This window comes from Homo sapiens, chromosome 2 (assembly GCF_000001405.40).
Source record: "Homo sapiens chromosome 2, GRCh38.p14 Primary Assembly".
NCBI lineage: Eukaryota > Metazoa > Chordata > Mammalia > Primates > Hominidae > Homo > Homo sapiens.
Window position 1 is genome coordinate 213,844,403 of NC_000002.12, and position 18,299 is coordinate 213,862,701.

Consider the following 18,299-nt stretch of genomic DNA (forward strand, 5'->3'; position numbering starts at 1 on the left):
TTATCTAGCAGACTGAAGGATGTTAAGCAAATGATTAGGGAATTTCTAACAGGTAACAGATGATTAGGTCAATAAATTAATTCATGTGTAATTTGAAAAATATAACATTTCACATAATATTCATAATATTCACCATTTTTCAGAAGGCAAAATTAAATACTTCAGATTATAAATCTAACGACACAGAAAAGACATTTTATGTTCTTGTTTTTTGATTTACGAGGACTTGGACTTATAATAGTCAATAAATGCTAACTGATTATTAATAAGGTGTAGGGTCTAAGGAGCATAAATTTTTTTAAATTAGTTTTAAATATTCATAGTTATAGCCAGTTTTTTACTGTCTTTACCAATGAAAGGAAACAATGTCATAAAGTAACTATTTTTAATGTTTTTAGTCATTCGTCTTTATGTAACATTACTTTTTGAAATTGATTTGCTTTCCAAATTAAAGGTTGTCGTAGGATAATGGTAAAATTATTTTGCATACATAGCAATACAAATAAATTGGAAACTGAGGATATGATCTAAAAATACACTAAGTGGCAGTGAAGAGTGAATCTGGAATTCAACATTTTTCACAATGCATATGTAACATGGTATATTTGGATGAAACATTATTCAAATGGGCAATCTCTTCTGGCTCCATTGTCTTGTGACTGTGATTCTAAATGCTGTCATTTCTAAAGTAACTTAAATACTTTCTCCTGAGAAAATTGTCATTAAAAACAAGTGCATATAATATCTAATAAAAAGTTTTTATATTATTACTATTTTGTTTTATATATCTAGTGTTCTTTTTTTTTTTTTTTTGAGACAGAGTCTCGCTCTGTTGCCCAGGCTGGAGTGCAGTGGCACAGTCTCGGCTCACTGCAACCTCCATCTCCTGGGTTCAAATGATTCTCCTGCCTCAGCCTCCCGAGTAGCTGGGACTGCAGGCATCCGCTACCACGCCCAGCTAATTTTTGTATTTTTAGAGGAGACGAGGTTTCACCATGTTGGCCAGGATCGTCTCGGTATCTTGACCTCGTGATCCACCCTCTTCGGCCTCCCAAAGTGCTGGGATTACAGGTGTGAGCCACTGCAAGCGGCCCTTGTTCTTAATCGTAATGAACATGAACAGTATTAATAAGTTCAAAGCAATATGTACACGAAGAATTTCTTCTTTCAACAGCAATAAATGGGTAAAATAAGTACAGAACAACTTTTATGATACAGTGTTATAAAATGCATGTGTATCAGTTACCTTTCATCACCTTAATTCTTTGTTAAAAACAAAAACAAAATGCCATAAAACCTCAGTGGCACACAATAGTAAGGATTTGAATGAAGCTCAGGCATCTGATACAATCAGCTGGGCCATTCTGCTGTTTGTAGCTGGGCTCAACTGGTTGGTTATTCTCTTCTTAACTGAACTCACTCAGATGTGTGGATCAGCTGGTTTGGTTTGAGGTGAAAATCAGGACATTTTTACTCTGCTCCATGTCTCTCAACCTCCATCAGACTGGGACAGGTAGATATCTTCTCATGATGAAAGTGGGGTTGGGGTAGCAGTGGGAAAGGGCAAGCCTAATTATACAAATACTTTTCAAGTCTCTTGAGTGTGATACATTTACTAGCATCTCATTGGCTAGTGCAAGTCACTTATCAGTCAGATAATTTGAGATAAATTCATGTGCCTTAATTATTTTTATAACTTAAAACATACCAACAATGATCCAAAATATTTTTTAAACTACTGTGATTTTTAAGATTGTTGAAAATTGTTTTGAAAATTAGTTTCACATTTATCTTTTAGGGAAAAAGAGTTTACCATTGATAATCCAAAAATCTGATAAAATCAGTTGAAGCCTGTTTAGAAAGATTGAGAACTTATAAGTACATACATAAGTATAAATTATATATAATGTAGTATATTATATACATGTGTATGTATATATCCCTGCTGAAATTACCTGCCAGTAGTACCTGAAGAAACTCCTCTTAGAATAAGATGTATTTTAACATTTCATTGTAATGGAAGTAGCTTATTTTACTCACCTTTTTTGACTACAGTTTTTCCGACTCAATTACAGTGTTCCTGTGTGGTTCAAAACCAATAAAAATGTCATTAGTAAAACCAGTCCATGTCATAAAATTGTATTCCATCTAGTTAATTTGACACAAAATAATATAATTATAAATAAAATAATAATGGAGTTATTTTTATAGGCAACATTCTAATACAGTGAGACCCCTTTATCTTATATTTAAAATATTAGAAGCTATAATTTCATATTCCATGTAATATATGTCTTTTAATTTAAATTTAATTTCCTTTGTTACTCACTGCTAGACTGTATCTGTTTTCTATTGCTGCTATAAGAAATTTGCACCAATTTAGTGACTTAAACACTAATTTATCGCTTCACAGTTATGTAGGTCAGAAATCTGTGCAGGCTCAATGGCTTCTGCTGCTTAGAATCTCAGCAAAATCAAAGGGTCAGCAGGTCTAGTCTCTTATCTGGAGGCTATGAGGTAGAGTGTGCTTCCCATCTCGTCCAGGCTGTGGGCAGACTTCAGGTTTAGTGGTTGTAGAACTGAGCTTCCTGCTTCCTTGCTGGCTGTCAGGTGGAGTACTTGTCAATTTCCAGAGGACATCCTGTTTCATGACTCTTGCCAACATTCCTTCATCTTCAAAATAGGCTAGGCAGATTAAGTTTCCTCATGCTTTGAGTCTCTCTGACCTACCCTCTGTCTCATTTAATTTCCCTTGCTCATAGGGACTGCTGTAATTAGACTAGACCCACCCCTCAGGATAATTTTCCTATTTTAAGCATATTCACAGGTTCCAGAGGTTTTGGCATGGACATTGTGTTATGCCATTATTGCACTGCTATGAAGAAATACCTGGGTATTTTATAAAGAAAAGAGGTTTAATTGGTTCATTCTTCTGCAGGTTTTATGGGAAGCATCGTGCTGGCATCTGTTCAGCTTCTGCTGAAACCTCAGGGAGCTTTTAATCAGGGTGGAAGGCAAAGAGGGGCTGGCATATCATATGGCAAAAGCAAGAGCAAGAGAGAAAGACTGAAGGAGGGAGGTGTCACACACTTTGAAACAACCAGATCTCATGTGAACTAAGAGGGAGAGCTCACTTAGCACCAAAGGGACGGTCCAAGCCATTCCTGATGGACCTAGCTCCGTGATCCAAACACCCTACACCAGGCCCCACCTTCAGTATTGGGATTACATTTCAACATGAGATTTGGGTGGGGACAAATATCCAAACCATTTGATTCTTGTGCATTCTTATGCCTACATAAGTTAGGTAGTGAGAGGACAACAGGATCCAGGCAGAGTTTAAACAAGCAGATTAAGGAGAGAGAAACACTACAGCAAACACGGACCTCTCCTTGTTACTCTTGCAGTGAGATTCTCTCTCCTTGATAAGGATAACAAAATGTTGTAATATAAACAAATGACACACACACACACACACACACAGACATATAATACAAAAAGTAACTGGAGGCAGTGCCGTATGTTATAGAGGAAGCTTTGGGTAATTTTGAGAGGGGTATGTGCTGCAGACATTCAGCACTGAAATAAGGCAAGTAATTTGAGTTATTTATTAAAGGACAGGTGATTAAGCTGTGTGATTGAGAGACTTGGGAATGGTGCATACCTTTTATTTATTTCCCTGAATTTGGTAAAACTCAGTGTAGATAATAAATTATGCAACTGAATACCTGTGGAGTCACTCCTGTTTGGCTTGTAAAAATGGAAGCTCTACGTCTTGTCTGGATTGTAGCAAGTTGCTGTTTAGATGCTCCCTCTGTGCTCTTTTCCTACCCACAGTGAGTAGATGGGAGTCAATAGATTATCTCTTTATTTTTGCTTGGTTTCACGTGAATTAGAAGAAAAAAGATGTCAGCAGAATTTAAGATGCAGAGATAACTGCATGGAAGTAAGAGACATCTGAAGTGGTGTCCTACTGCATCACAGATTATCAGGACTCATTTCAGGTCTGTTGCTTGGTTTTCTTAATTTGTCATTGTTTGAACCCATTTCTGGATACTAAGCTTCCTTTTTTGGATTTATGTCTCACAGCCTTATATGTTCATTAATTTTCACCTTGGCTGAATTGGCCGCCCAATCCTTCCCCTTAAACATGTACTTTTCATTCCATTTATCCATTGTAGTTATATCTATCTGGTTGCCACCCCTGAATTCAAGTTATTTGTGTTCATGGAGTAATTTTTAACAACTTTATCAAAGCGTTTTTATAATGCCAGTTTATACCCCTGTTCCCTTCGTCCCATCCCTATATCCTTTCTCCCATCTAATGGAAACTGATGCAAGTTATCGCCCCTTGCAGCTCTTCAGCTTCCCCTTGCCAGCATCTCAAATTACATATAGTGAGTGCCAAACCCAGACATTTGATCTATTCCTCTTGTTCACAACAGTTTCTGCTTGTGGCCTATGACGCAACTGAAATATGATAATAGAAACTTATTCAGTCTTAGGAATTTTTTTAGTGTAGAAATTGAGACTCAGATTGACATATATATATAACTTTTGTTAATTTCAATATGTGCCTCAAATTCCAAACCTTATGGGTTTGTGTTGCTATAAAGCAATACCTGAGGGTGGGTAATTTATGAAGAAAAAAAGATGTATTTTTCTCACAATTCTGGATGGTTGGAAAGTTCAAGATTGTACATCTGCATCTGGCGAGGACCTCAGGCTGCTGTCACTCTTGGCATAGGGTGACAGAGAGCCAGCTTATGCACAGATCACACGGCAGGAGATGAAACGAGAAAGAGTGGGGAGGTACCAGGCTCTTTTTAAGAACTAGCCCATGCAGGAACTAATAGAGTTAGAACTAACACATCACCGTGAGAATGGCACCACGACATCCATGAAGGATCCACCCCCATGGCCCAAACACCTCCTACTTAGGCCCCACCTCCCGACACCACCAAACTGGGGATAAAATTTCAACATGAGATTTGTTGGAAACAAAACATGTCCAAACCATAGCAGTTTATTTTGTGAAAGTGCTGAAGTTTGATGAGTATACTTCAATGATAAAAAAATTAATATTGGCTTTCTAATTTATTTATAAAATAGATACAAAAAAGTCATTATTTATATGTCATTACAATAATCACATTGGCTTGGTGGTATCTAATAAATTGGAGCCACATTGAAGTGAATTCTATACTATACCTCAGCATGTAAATTTACCTGAATTTTATGTCTTCAGTTGTAATTCTTCCAGTTATTTCTAGACTATATGTAGTTTATATTTCTAGATATTCTCCTAGAAAAGAGATTTTTCATGTTAAAGTCCTTACCATAAGGAAGTTTGACTGTCATTCCAAAGAATCTACTCTCTGTCATTAATATAATAAGGAGATATGAAATGGAACATTTTACATTCATAACAACACAAAATTCTTATAAATTGCTGAAACATGAAATAACCAAATAAACTTTATTATTGAAATGGGTTTCTTTAGAACATAAATGTGTAATGTATCTTCTCAAACTTGTTAAATCATAAAGAAGTGCGGTGATTTAGTAACATGAAGCACAGTATATATAAAACTATGTAGCATAAAATGTTCAGCTGCTAAGGTAGCAGGAAGGTTCCAGGAGATATTTTCATAAATCTGGAAGTAGTTCACCTGTTTCATTGATTGTCCTCATTTCATTTACCTAAATAGTGGGTCGTGATTCTCCTGTCTTTGGAGTTTACAAATTTCCTTTAGTTGAATCTGTGTGTTTTGAAATGGTATTTCTTTCACGTATTAGAAAGTTGAATAACTTTGAAGAAAATGGAAATGACATTGTGTGGATTGTCGGAAAACTAGAAAGATGTGATACCTTTCTTTATAAGGGTCAGGACCAGCACTACTATAACAAAGGCATGTTAATAAGAGAAAAGCAAAACAAATTTGTTTAATCCAAGTTTTACATGACACAGAAAACTTCAAAAATGAAAAGCTAAAATCCAGGGAAAACTGTCTATGTTTAGATTTGATGAAGAATGGACAGTCGAGTAGAAATGTGATTGGACAAAAGGCTGTGCTGTAGTGGTAATAAACTGGAAGGGGAAACACAGAGAGGCCTGATGGTTCAGATTCTTCTGGCCTGCCTGTATGGCATTTCTTCTTTCGAGTACAGGGCAGGACCTCTCTGGAATGAAGGTCTTTAAGGAAAAGAAGAGAAGGTTTTATGGCTTGCTTTGTAGCAGATGGGTTCTAGTTTCTAAGACTCACCTTCGAGAAGAGAAATTCTGTTTTTTTTTTTATGATTTTCTTCTGGGTAGAAAATGCGATGGGAGACAGGAGGGCAAGAGAATGTGTGTCGATGAGGTTTGGTCAGTGGTGACTTAGGAAACATTATTAGGCTGCTTATTTGCTTATATGTTGACTTTCCATAAATGATTTTTGAGTTGAATGTTATAAAATGTAAATCTTTATATTTTTATTTTCACTTTGGATTTTTTTTCTCATAACATACCAGTCTACTAATTTTCAAGGAACATTCTTATTAGTATATTTAAAAGGCCAAAATAGTATTACTCTTATTTAATAATTAATTTAATCACAGTTAGCTAAAATTTGACTTTATCCAACCTGAAGACTTTTCCTAGAGAAGTGCTTATATTCATAATTAAACTAAAATTTTAGTTCAGAAGTATAAAATGTTGCTGTCTAATTTAAGAATAAAATACAAGTTTTTAGAAAGTTGTGTGGAAAGTTTTACATTGGACGAGAAAGACCAAAGAATTGATACGATGTTTAAAAAGATTTGGGTTGAATCTATAAACTAATAATATGGGCCAGCGTGGTGGCTCACACCTGTAATCCCAGCACTTTGGCAGGCCGAGGCAGATTATTTGAGGTCAGGAGTTCGAGACCAGCCTGACCAACATGATGAAACCCCATCTCTACTAAAATACAAAAATGAGGCGTGGTGGCGGTGGGTGCCTGTAATCTCAGCTACTTGAGAGTCCGAGGCAGGAGAATCACTTTAACCCAGTAGGCGGAGGTTGCAGTGAGCCAAGATTGCGCCACTGCACTCCAGCCTGGGTGACAGAGCGAGACTCCCTCTTAAAATAAAAGTAAACTGATAATTTGGATGAATGTTACAATGTTCTATAACATGGGTGAATTTTAATCGCAGTACCATTGAGTATCTATTAGGTCTAAGTCACTACATAAGGCCTTTCCCTGCATTTGAGCCAGAGTAGATATTCCAGTCTCGGCTGCCTCTTACCTTGCCAATGATTGGGATTAGCACTACCAGCCAGGTGGCAAGGCATATACAATATGTATAAGGTTGGAAGAACATTGAACAAGAAAAGAAAACTGAAGCTTTAGCTTTTATGACTACCCTCTAGGGCATTATTAATAAGTCCACAAACTGTGAAAAAACTGTAAGAATGCTCCACTCTAGTAAAAAATGAAAGGACAGTGCTACTTTCCAGATCCTAATGATGTAAGTCCTGCTCTGCTTTGAAGAAAACCTATAATTTCACAATATTTAAAACTTAAAGTGCTAGGGAAGTATTAAGATTTCATCTTTTTCACATTTACTTAGCTGTCTTCTGAAAATGAATAAGATCCACTATCTTATTTTGACAGATTTTAAATTATTGTGTTTTGTATACACATTTGTTTTGTGACTTTTATTGCATTTGCATTTCACCTTGGCACTTTTTAAGTACACTTAATAAATATGTTTTAATGATGAGGACAACTGTGAGTTGACCTTTCCTGAAGGTAGTGGTGAAAATACCAATATACAAAAGCGGCATCTGCCATGATGATGAGGAGCCGTAGTTTAAATAGATCTGGGTTGCTACTGTACTCTCCAAGTTAGTGTCCTAGTTTCTTCTCTTGTTTCTTACTTTCCATTTTCCACAGAGCAGCTACAGATATCTTTTTAAAATATATTAATCATATATAATTCTCCTACTTAAAACCGTGAAATGATCTTAGGAGAAATTTAGTCGTCTTTCTTCAGTCTAAAAGCCCTATATGACTTTGGTACTCGCCTTCCTCTCGCTCCCTATCCATCCTCAACACAGTCCTCCTTGCTTGTTCTCTTCAGTCACCTCGGCTTTCCTTCTGTCCCTTGAGTGCACCACCTCCTTGCAGCCTTAGCACTTTTGCACTTGCAGTCACCTGTGACTGAAACCATCTGCCCTTAGACCATCCTAAAGGTACTTCTTGCTTGTCATTCTGGTCTCAGCTAGGAGGTCATGTTTTCAATGTGGGCTCCCCTGACCACCTCATCAAAAATAACATTCTCCCCCAAATTATTATATCACTTTACTACATTTTCTTTATAGCTGACTTATTTTCTTCAGTTATTTTGTGATCTGTTCTCCCCTACACATAAGTAAGTTTCCTGAGGGTGATGCCTCTGTATTGCATGCTACATCATAGGCTATAAACACATATTTGCTGGAATAATAAAAAAATTCCATGTGAAAGTACTTTATATAAATGCTAATGCACATCACGATATAAGATGCAGTTACTAGCTAAGCAACAGTCAGACAACTCCTTTTTATGTATTTGTTCTGGCAACCTGAATAAAAGCATATGTAATCTGTGAGTGTGTATTGTCTTTAAGGACAGGTAGGTAAGTGGTCATCTAATGTTCACGGGGCACACATTTTGATACGGATTTATTTTCCACCCACTGTGCATCTTCTGCTGTGGCAATAATTAGAGCCTGTGAACTGAAGTGAAGGAAACATTTACAATGTTGAATAACCTAAAGGGAAGACAAGGGTATCTAATTAGTCTTTCTTGTGACAATCTTTTTTTGGATTAATATTCTTTTCTTTTGAAAAGTCTAACAGTGGATTCTTATGTCACTGACTCTACTGATAATTAATAGTGTTCACCATACACCTACACACACTCCCTCCAAAATATCCTCTCGTAATGCCACTACTGGAAAGAACAATTTCAATTAGAAAGGAGAGCTTTTGAAGTATATATCATGTGGTCTATTATAAGAAATGTGTCCTATTATAAACGAAAAAAATCTCTGCCAGAACATAATATTTTATGTAACATGCCTGGTATATTGTTTAACAAAACATTTTATGGATACTTCATTAGGGCATGACTTGATTAAGAAGCAGGACTAGCATTCACCCACATTGTCTTTTCTTGAATCTGTAAGATGTGTTCCTGTACGATTTTCACCCTACTTATAAGCTTATTAACTTAGGAATGTTGTGACAGAGCCTTTATTTTTGAATCTTGTAATTATAATTAATAGTAAGTTAAAGGGAAGTAGAAAGCTTATATTCAAAGTTTGAAGTAAAATGACTTTGTGGCACTTAGGGCAGGTGCCAGGAAGAAATTAAGCAAAAGCTTATTATTCTTATTTATTAGAACTTTGGGATGACATCTTTGAGGATGATAGTCATTTTATGGTTACAAGAGGGAGACCTATTTGTGGACAAAGCTTGAGGAGGGGTATCCTGCTATCTTCAGCTCCGCATGCCCAGGGTCTAAAATGAGCTTTTCCCCCAAGATTAGCAACTACTTTGTGCTAGTTGCATATGTGCAAGTAAGGATAGGAGTGAATGTGTACATACTCTCCACTACTTCCCTCAGTGTGTTCCTGAAATCCCTATCATGAAAGAAACAACCACAAAATTTCCTTATATTAACTTGTGAAAGTGTTATTTATGATGGCTACATTTTTGCCAGAGAGTGACTTAACATCATATAAAACACAGTAATGTACGATGTTTATCAAAACTAAGAGAAAACATCGTTTAATTGTAAATATCTACAGTTTTAAGTAGGGAATGTCCTACCCATGGTCTTTAAAAGAAAAAAGTATGAATGATAGATGTTAACTATATGAAGGGCCAAATTACAAGGAAGTTCAATAATGTTGAATAATAGTAATAATAGTTGACATTTGTGGAAAGCTGACAAATGTTCAGATAATTGTTCTAAGTACTTTACATATATCAACTTATTTTATACTCAAATGCCCTGATGGATCAGTATTTTTACCCTGTTTTCACAAATAAAAAAGCTGGGCTGTACAACATAATCAGCTAGTAATTAAGTTGTGGGCCATTCTTCAAATCTAGGCAGGCAGGCCCCAGATACCCTGTCTCTCTGTGCTGTGACAATGTTCACTAAATTTTCACTATGTGTCTAGCACCATTCTAAGTCCTGTACAAGTATTAACTTTAAAAATTCCCATAATAAGCTTATGTGATCAATCCTACAGTAGTCCCATTTCTTCAGGTGAGGTACCTGACAAAATTCTTGATAAGGAATTTATCCAAGAATGTCTAGCTAGCTAACACTGGAACAAGAATTCAAACTCACATCTTACTTCAGAGCCAACACTTTTAAACATTAGTCTACCCCATGTCATGCAAATGTTTAGGGATCAGCAAACTATGGCCCACAGGCCAAACCTAGCCCACAAACTGGTTTTGTAACTAAAGTTTTGTTGGAACACATCCTTAATCATTCGTTTATGTTTTGTCTATGTCTGCTTTCATGCTACAAGAGCAGAGCTGAAAAGTTACAACAGATAACATATGGCCCATAGCCTAAATTATTTACTCTCTGGTCCTTTTCAGAAAACGTTTGCCAACCTCTGCTTTAGACCATGAGTGTTTCTTTAGCAATTATCTTTGCTTGATCCATCCCACCACCACCCTGAATCTAGACAATTTTCAGAAAATAGCAAGTGACAATAGTTTTAACTTTTTACACATGGTTAGAAAATGACAAAAAAGACCAGTTCTTTAGAAACTTCAAAATGCATCTGAATAAGTACCCTAGACACACATAAAACAACATTCTCTGCTCTTGCTTTCATCTAAAAAAGGAAAAGTCAACAGAGGTGTTGAGCTAACTCTACTTAAAGATATGGACTTGAGACAGTTCACTCAAGTTCATGTATTCTGGCTTTACCACTTCCTAGCTTTGTGACCTCGGGTGGATCACTTAACCTCTATGTATCCCAGTTCCTCCACCTGGAAAAATGGGGATAGTGGTAAACGTAACTCATAGGAGAACAGGAATATCTCATTTTATCGCATTTCACTTTGTTGCATTTCATAGTTACTACTTTTTTTTTCTAACTGAAGTGTATTGGTTAATATGCTGTTATAAAGACATACCTGAGACTGGGAAATTTATGAAGAAAAGAGATTTAATTGTCTCACAGTTCTGCATGGCTGGGGAGACCGCAGGAAATTCACAATCATGGCAGAAGGCACCCCTTCACAGGGCATCAGGAGAGGGAATGAGAGCAGAGTGGAGGGGGAAGCCCCATATGAAACCATCAGATCTCATAAGAACTCACTTACTGTCATCAGAACAACATGGGGGAAACCACCCCCAGGATTCAATTTTCTCCACCTGGTCCTGCCCTTGACATGTGGGGATTATTATAATTCAAGGTGAGATTTGGGTGGGTACACAGAGCCAAACCATATCATTTTACTCCTGGTCCCTCCCAAATCTCATAACCTCAAATTTCAAAACACAATCATGTCCTTCCCAGTCCCCCAAAGTCTCAACTCATTTCATCATTAACTCAAAAGTCCAAGTCCAAATTCTCGTCTGAGACAAGTTCCTTCTGCCTATGAGCCTGTAAAATCAAAAGCAAGTTAGTTACTTCCTAGACACACTGGGGATACAGGCAGTTGGTAAATATACCCATTCCAAATGGGAGAAATTGGCCAAAACAAAGGGGCTACAGGTGCCAGACAAGTCCAAAATCCAGTAGGGCAGTCATTAAACGTTAAAATTCCAAAATGTTCTCTTTGACTCCATGTCTCACATCCAGGTCACATTGATGCAAGAGGTGGACTCCCATAGCCTTGGGCAGCTCCACCCCTGTGGCTTTGCAGGATACAGCCCCCTCCCAGCTGCTTTCATGGGTATTGAGTGTCTGTAGCTTTTCCAGGTGCACAGTGCAAGCTGTCAGTAAACCTACCATTCTGGGGTCTGAAGGACAGTGGCCCTCTTCTTACAGCTCCGTTAGGCAATGCCCCAGTTGGGACTGTTTGTGGGGGCTCCAAACCCACATTTCCCTTCCACACTGCTCTAGCAGAGGTTCTCCATGAGGAAGCCACCCTACAGCAGACTTCTGCCTGGACATCCAGGCATGTCTATACATCTTCGGAAACCTTGGCAGAGGTTCCCAAACCTCAATTCTTGACTTCTGATCCCCCACAGGCCCAACACATGTAAGCTGCCAATGTTTGGGCCTTGCACCCTCTGAAGCAAAGGCCTGAGCTGTATGTTTGCCCCTGTTAGTCATTGCTGGGATGCAGGGCACCGAGTCCCAAGACTGCACAAAGCAGCAAGTACCTGGGCCTGGCTCATGAAACCATTTTTTCATTTTAAGTTTTGAGGAAAGAAGCTATCTCCATAACATAAAAGTATGGTGAAGCAACAAGTGCTGAAGTAGAAGCTATAACGAGTTATCCAGAAGACATAGCTAAGATAATGAATGAAGGTGGCTAAACTAAAAAATCATCAGCATAGGATGGGTGGCTCACACCTGTAATCCCAGCACTTTGGGAGGCCAAGGAGGATGGGTCACCTAAAGTCAGGAATTAGAGACCAGCCTGGCCAACATGGCGAAACCCTATCTCTATCAAAAATACAAAAACTAGCCAGGCATGGTGGCGGGCGCCTGAAATCCCAGCTACTCAGGAGGCTGAAGCTGGAAAATTGCTTGAACCCGGGAGGCGGAGGTTGCAGTGAGCCGAGATCACTCCACTGAACTCCAGCCTGGGTGACAGAGAGAGACTGCATCTCAAAAAAAATTATTCAGCATAAACAGCCCTTTATTGGAAGAACATATTATTTAAAACTCTTAAATCTAGAGAGGTAAAGTCAATGCTTGGCTTCAACAACTCCACCTGACAGGCTGACTTTCTTGTTAGGGGCTAATGCAGCTGGTAACTTTAAGTTGAAGCCAATGCTCATTGACCATGTTGAAAATCCTAGGATCTTTAAGATTATGCTAAATCTATTTTGCCTATGATTTATAAATGTAACAACAAAGCCTAGATGACAGCCCATCTGTTTACAACATGGTTTAATGAATATTCTAAGCCCACCTTTGAGACCTACTGTTCAGAAAAAAAAATGATTCTTTACAAAATATTACTTCCCATTTAAAATTCACCTGGTCACTCAAGAACTGTGATGAAGATGTACAAGGAGACAAATGTTATTTTCATGCCTGCTGACAGAACATCAATTCTGCTTCCCGTGGGTCAATGAGTAATTTCAACTTTCAATTCTTATTTTTTAAAAACTATATTTTGTAAGGCTATAGCTGCCATAGACAGTGATTCCTCTGATGGATCTGGGCAAAGTAAACTGAAAACCTTCTGGAAAGAGACTTTCATGATTTATAGGAAGAGATCAAAATATAAACATTAACAGAAGTTTGAAAGAAGTTGATGCAAACTCTCATGGATGACTTTGAGAGGTTCAAGACTTCCCTGGAGGAAGTCACATCAGATGTGATAGAAATAGCAAAAGAACCATAATTAGAAGTGCATCCTGAAAATGCGATTCAATTGCTACAATTTTATGATAAAACTTGAATGGATAAAGAGTTGCTTCTTATTGATGAGCAAAGAAAGTAGTTTCTTGGGATGGAATCTACTCCTGGGTGAAGATGCTGTGAACATTGTTGAAATAACAATGAAGGATTTAAAATATTTCATAAACATATTTGATAAAGATGTTTGAGAGGGTTGACTCCAATTTTGAAAGAAGTTCCACTGTGGGTAAAATGCTATCAAACAATATCACATGCCACAGAGAAATCTTTTTGAAATGAAAAGTACATCAATGTGGCAAACTTCATTGTTGTCTTATTTTCAGAATTTGCTACAACCATCTAGCCTTCAGGAACCACAACTCTGATTGGTCAGCAGCCATCAACATCAAGGCAAGACCCTCCACCAGCAGAAAGATTATGACTGGATGAATGTTAAGATCAGCCCCATTTTTTAGCAATAAAGTATTTTTTCATTGTCAGTTTAGACATAATACTATTATATACTTAATATACTATAGTATAGGGTAAACATAACTTTTATATGTACTGGGAAACCAAAAAGTTTATATGATTTGCTTTATTGTGATATTCACTTTGTTGAGATTGTCTGAAACCAAGATTGCCTGATACCTGGAGTATCTCCAAGGTATGCCTGTATTATAGCCATTGAATGAATTTATGTATGCAATGTTGGGAAGAGGAACTGAATCCTATAAAGTATTAGTTATTACTCCTATTCTTCAGCTTCTTCAAAAGACTGATTCAGAGGTAAACAGAATGGTCGAAGGTGAGCCCTAAGTATAACTGGGTAAATTTTTAATGAATGAAAAGCCTGTGGAATCAATGATTATTAAGTATTGTTCTACATTTATTTTTAGAGACCTCTATGAAAATAAAAAATAAAAAGTCCGCCAGGTGCAGTGGCTCACGCCTGTAATCCCAGCACTTTGGGAGGCCGAGGTGGGCGGATCATGAGGTCAAAAGTTTGAGACCAGCCTGATAAACATGGTGAAATTCCATCTGTACTAAAAATACAAACATTAGCCAGACATGGTGGCACGCACCTGTAATCCCAGCTACTCAAGAGGCTAAGGCAGGATAATTGCTTGAACTTGGGAGGGGGAGGTTGTAGTGAGCCGAGATCACACCACTGCTCTCCAGTCTGGGCAACAGAGCGACACTCCGTCTCAAAAAAAAAAAAAAAAAAAAAAAAAAAAAAAAAAAAAACTCAATGTCCTCTGACAACTTGATGTATAATACCGGACTTCTACTATTAGCACAAGAAAATGAATTAAAGATCTTAAAGATCTTGGTAAGTGCAGCATGTACATCTGCACAAAAACTTATGTAGACAGATTGTGGGAGAGGCTCTCCTCCCTTGGTTTCTCTGGCAGTACCAGAGCATATTAACTGTAAAGAACAGGTTCTTCTAACCCCTCTAACACTATTGTGTCTGGTGGTACCCAGCTCTGATACAATACACTGGCAATTTCTAAATTGGTTCTTTACCTCAGGGCTTAATAATGACTAAATGACTTAAGCATTTACTGGGAATGATAATAGTTACATCCAAGCTCTGTAACAGGAATTATTGATATTTATAGTACACATAGAAATAATAAATGATTGAAGATTCATACTAAGCTGGAGTAGCTAAAATTATGAGTCTTAAAGCCAAGCCATCCTGGGTTCAAAGTTGGCTTCCGTTCACTACCAAATGTAAGCTTGGGCAATTTATGTGGTATCTCTACTAACTCTGTTTACAATGGCATAAAATAATAATACTGATAGTACCAACATCAGTCACTAAGTCATGTATTTGATGAATGTTTATTGAATAGCTACTATGTGCCAGCTACTATTGGGGTTGAGCATACAGCAAATAATACAGATATGAACCCCAGCTCTTTTGAGCTTTCATTTCACTTGTGAGAACTAAGCATTTAGTACCAGGTATGGGGCACATTAAATTTTCAAACAATGTTAAATATCATTACCATTAGTTGATGATGATGATGATGATGATGATGACAGTTATGTCTCATTATGGAGTTGAGAATAACACAATTTCTGTACGTGGGAAATATTTCTGGTCCATAGCCCTTAAACTGCTTCCCTCCCACAGGAGTGATTTGAACTGAGATTTGGAACTCCTCCCTGGGGGTCTTTATCGCTATGTCCCAGTATTTGCTGATGCACTTATTCCATAATAATTCAAAACCAGGTATTTATTAATATATTATCAAAGCATTAAATTCCTTTCTATATATGCTGAAAATATTTCTATTCAGCTAAAGAACATTGTATGCCTTGCTGAAATGTGTGTAGAATTACCCACAAAAGTCATTTACAGATATATATATATATATATATATGTGTGTGTGTGTATATCTATAAATAGACAGATATTTATACATATATAAATATATGTGTGTATATCTATATATTTATAGATATATGTATATATATACAGATATATCTATCTATATATATATATACACACATATGTGTGTGTACATGTATGTATCTATGCCAGTGTTAGAAAAGGAATATATGGACAAATCAGAGTGTGATTAGGAGGATCAGTTCATGTGGAATAGGAGTCCAAGTTGTTTAAGGTGTCACAGAGGAGGCCACATAGTGGAGGGGATGAGAAGAGTCAGAAAAAAGTACTTCCAAATCTGATTAGCTATCAGTGGGTTTGTATTTATATTTTTGCCTTAACTTCTACAAATAATTCCTCTCACAAAAGTCATTTTGGAAACTTATCTTTCAAAGTTCGTAAAAACATCAATGATTTTAGTTATCTTCACTTAAAGAGGGTAATTTATCATCTGGTCAAGGGTGCATGTGTCTGCCAGGAAAGCTGTGAGCCAACATACATCATACTCAGTAGCTTCAAGGATTCAGTTTGCCTTCTTGTGTGTATTTGAATACAGAATTCATTTTAATCTGACATTTTTTACCTCTCATCATATTTTTCTTCTAATTAAGTTCTATAAATGTATCTTCTATCCGGTTTGAGCTGTAATAAATTCTTTACTTGAATTGGCCTTCTGAAAGTCACAAACCAACATTATGATGAATTGCAAAATGAATAATTTCCCTTCCACTGTGTTTATTTTGAGCAGCAAAATGCTGGAGAAAAATGAAACAATGTTTCACTAGAAAGAAGGCCATGCCCATAGTGGTTACATGGCTTTGACCTGAATGCTGCTAATGCTGAAGCCAGTAGATTCCCAAAACTGTGTAGGTCTAATTTAAAAATAATTTTTCAGTTGATAATTTTAGAGTTTAATGATATTAATGTAAGATATAAATAATGAGAAATGTTTTGCTCTCATATAAGCCTGGAGTTAGCTAGCCATGTTGGTGTGGACTAGAGCCATGGTTTCTTTGGGAAATGTGTTTCTTAAAATCCATATTGCAGAAGAAAAGAACAAGGCCATTTATAGAATAGACTAAGGGAAAAATGAACATGTGATCGCTGTTTTTTAAATCATCATATGTCTTACCGCACCACATTGGCAAGTAAATGTATTATTGTCTTTGAATTTAGATGGCCAAATTGAAATTGAACAATTTGTTACTAATATTTAGGTTGGAATTTTAATAGGTGCTTAACATTGGACACATCTGTTCCCATTACATTGTAAGGCATAGATGAAACTTTATACAAATAAGATTAAAGCATTGCCATAGCTAAAATATCAGGCATTAACCTTGTAGACTTTTGATTTTAAAATAGTTGAGCTCCAGTATTAAAATAGCCACAGTGATCAGAGTCCAGTTCAAATAATAGTGCTTAATGTGTTAATCATTAATCTTACATACTTCTTTCTCATTTCCCTCTATGCCTTTATAGAGTGGGAATTGCCTTATATCTTGAATTCATTACTGTAATTTGTGTACTGTGCATTGACTGAAGCCAATTTAAGTGGTAATGTAGGATAGAATTTTAGTTCCTTCACTTTGTGTAGATAGTGGGCCATGGAGTTAATGTTTCATTTATAGTATTTATTACAGAACTATGATAATGTGGTTATGATTCATGATCTTTTCCTGGATAATGGCTGATTTAAGACATATTATAGTTTGAAAACAATGTTGATGTTCTATAGTAACCATGACCACTGGTCCAAATATCCCAACATAAAAATACCATTGGCATAATTTTTCTTCCCTTAAAGAAAAACCATAATTACTCTTTTCAAACCAGAATTAGATATGCACAATCACCTAAACCAACTACTTTGTCTTGCAAATGAGGAATCCGAGATCCAGTGAAGCTGACTAGATTGATGGAGATCAGAAAGCTACTAGTGTTAGAGCTATAGCAGGGATGCAGAACCTGCTTCCTCTTATTTTGGGGCCAGTACTCTCAAAACTATCCTGCCTTGCTAAAATCGGATAATCACTGCCATTTCATTTATTCATATTCTGAAAACATTTGCTATTATCTCCCCATAACTCTTTTTTCTTTCTCCTCGCGCAGTGTCTCCATGCAACCCCACAAAGACATCCTAGTCTCCTGTGGCGAGGACCGACTCTGGAAGGTGTTGGGCCTTCCAAAATGCAATGTGCTTCTCACGGGATTTGGCCACACTGACTGGCTTTCAGACTGCTGCTTCCATCCCAGGTCAGTGCACAGGACCCCTAGAAATAGCCTAATCTCTCTAGGAATGTGCTCCTTTACTCTGTCTGCTCACTCT

General features: G+C 37.0%; 1 protein-coding gene across 17 annotated transcripts in view; it reads left to right on the forward strand.

The window, feature by feature from the left end:
• SPAG16 (sperm associated antigen 16) overlaps positions 1 to 18,299 on the forward strand; it is a 1,126,038-nt gene that overhangs the window by 559,939 nt on the left and 547,800 nt on the right. For 16 of the 17 annotated variants that reach the window (NR_047659.2, NR_047660.2, XM_011511814.2 and 13 more), the window contains one exon: positions 18,083 to 18,226. Coding sequence is in view for 15 of the 17 variants with exons in the window: in XM_011511814.2 (XP_011510116.1) it covers positions 18,083 to 18,226 (144 nt within the window). In the remaining 2 variants the exon portion in view is untranslated. Of the gene's footprint in view, positions 1 to 13,910; positions 13,927 to 18,082; positions 18,227 to 18,299 lie in introns of those variants that run through there. The other variant, XM_011511831.3, reaches the window with a different exon arrangement.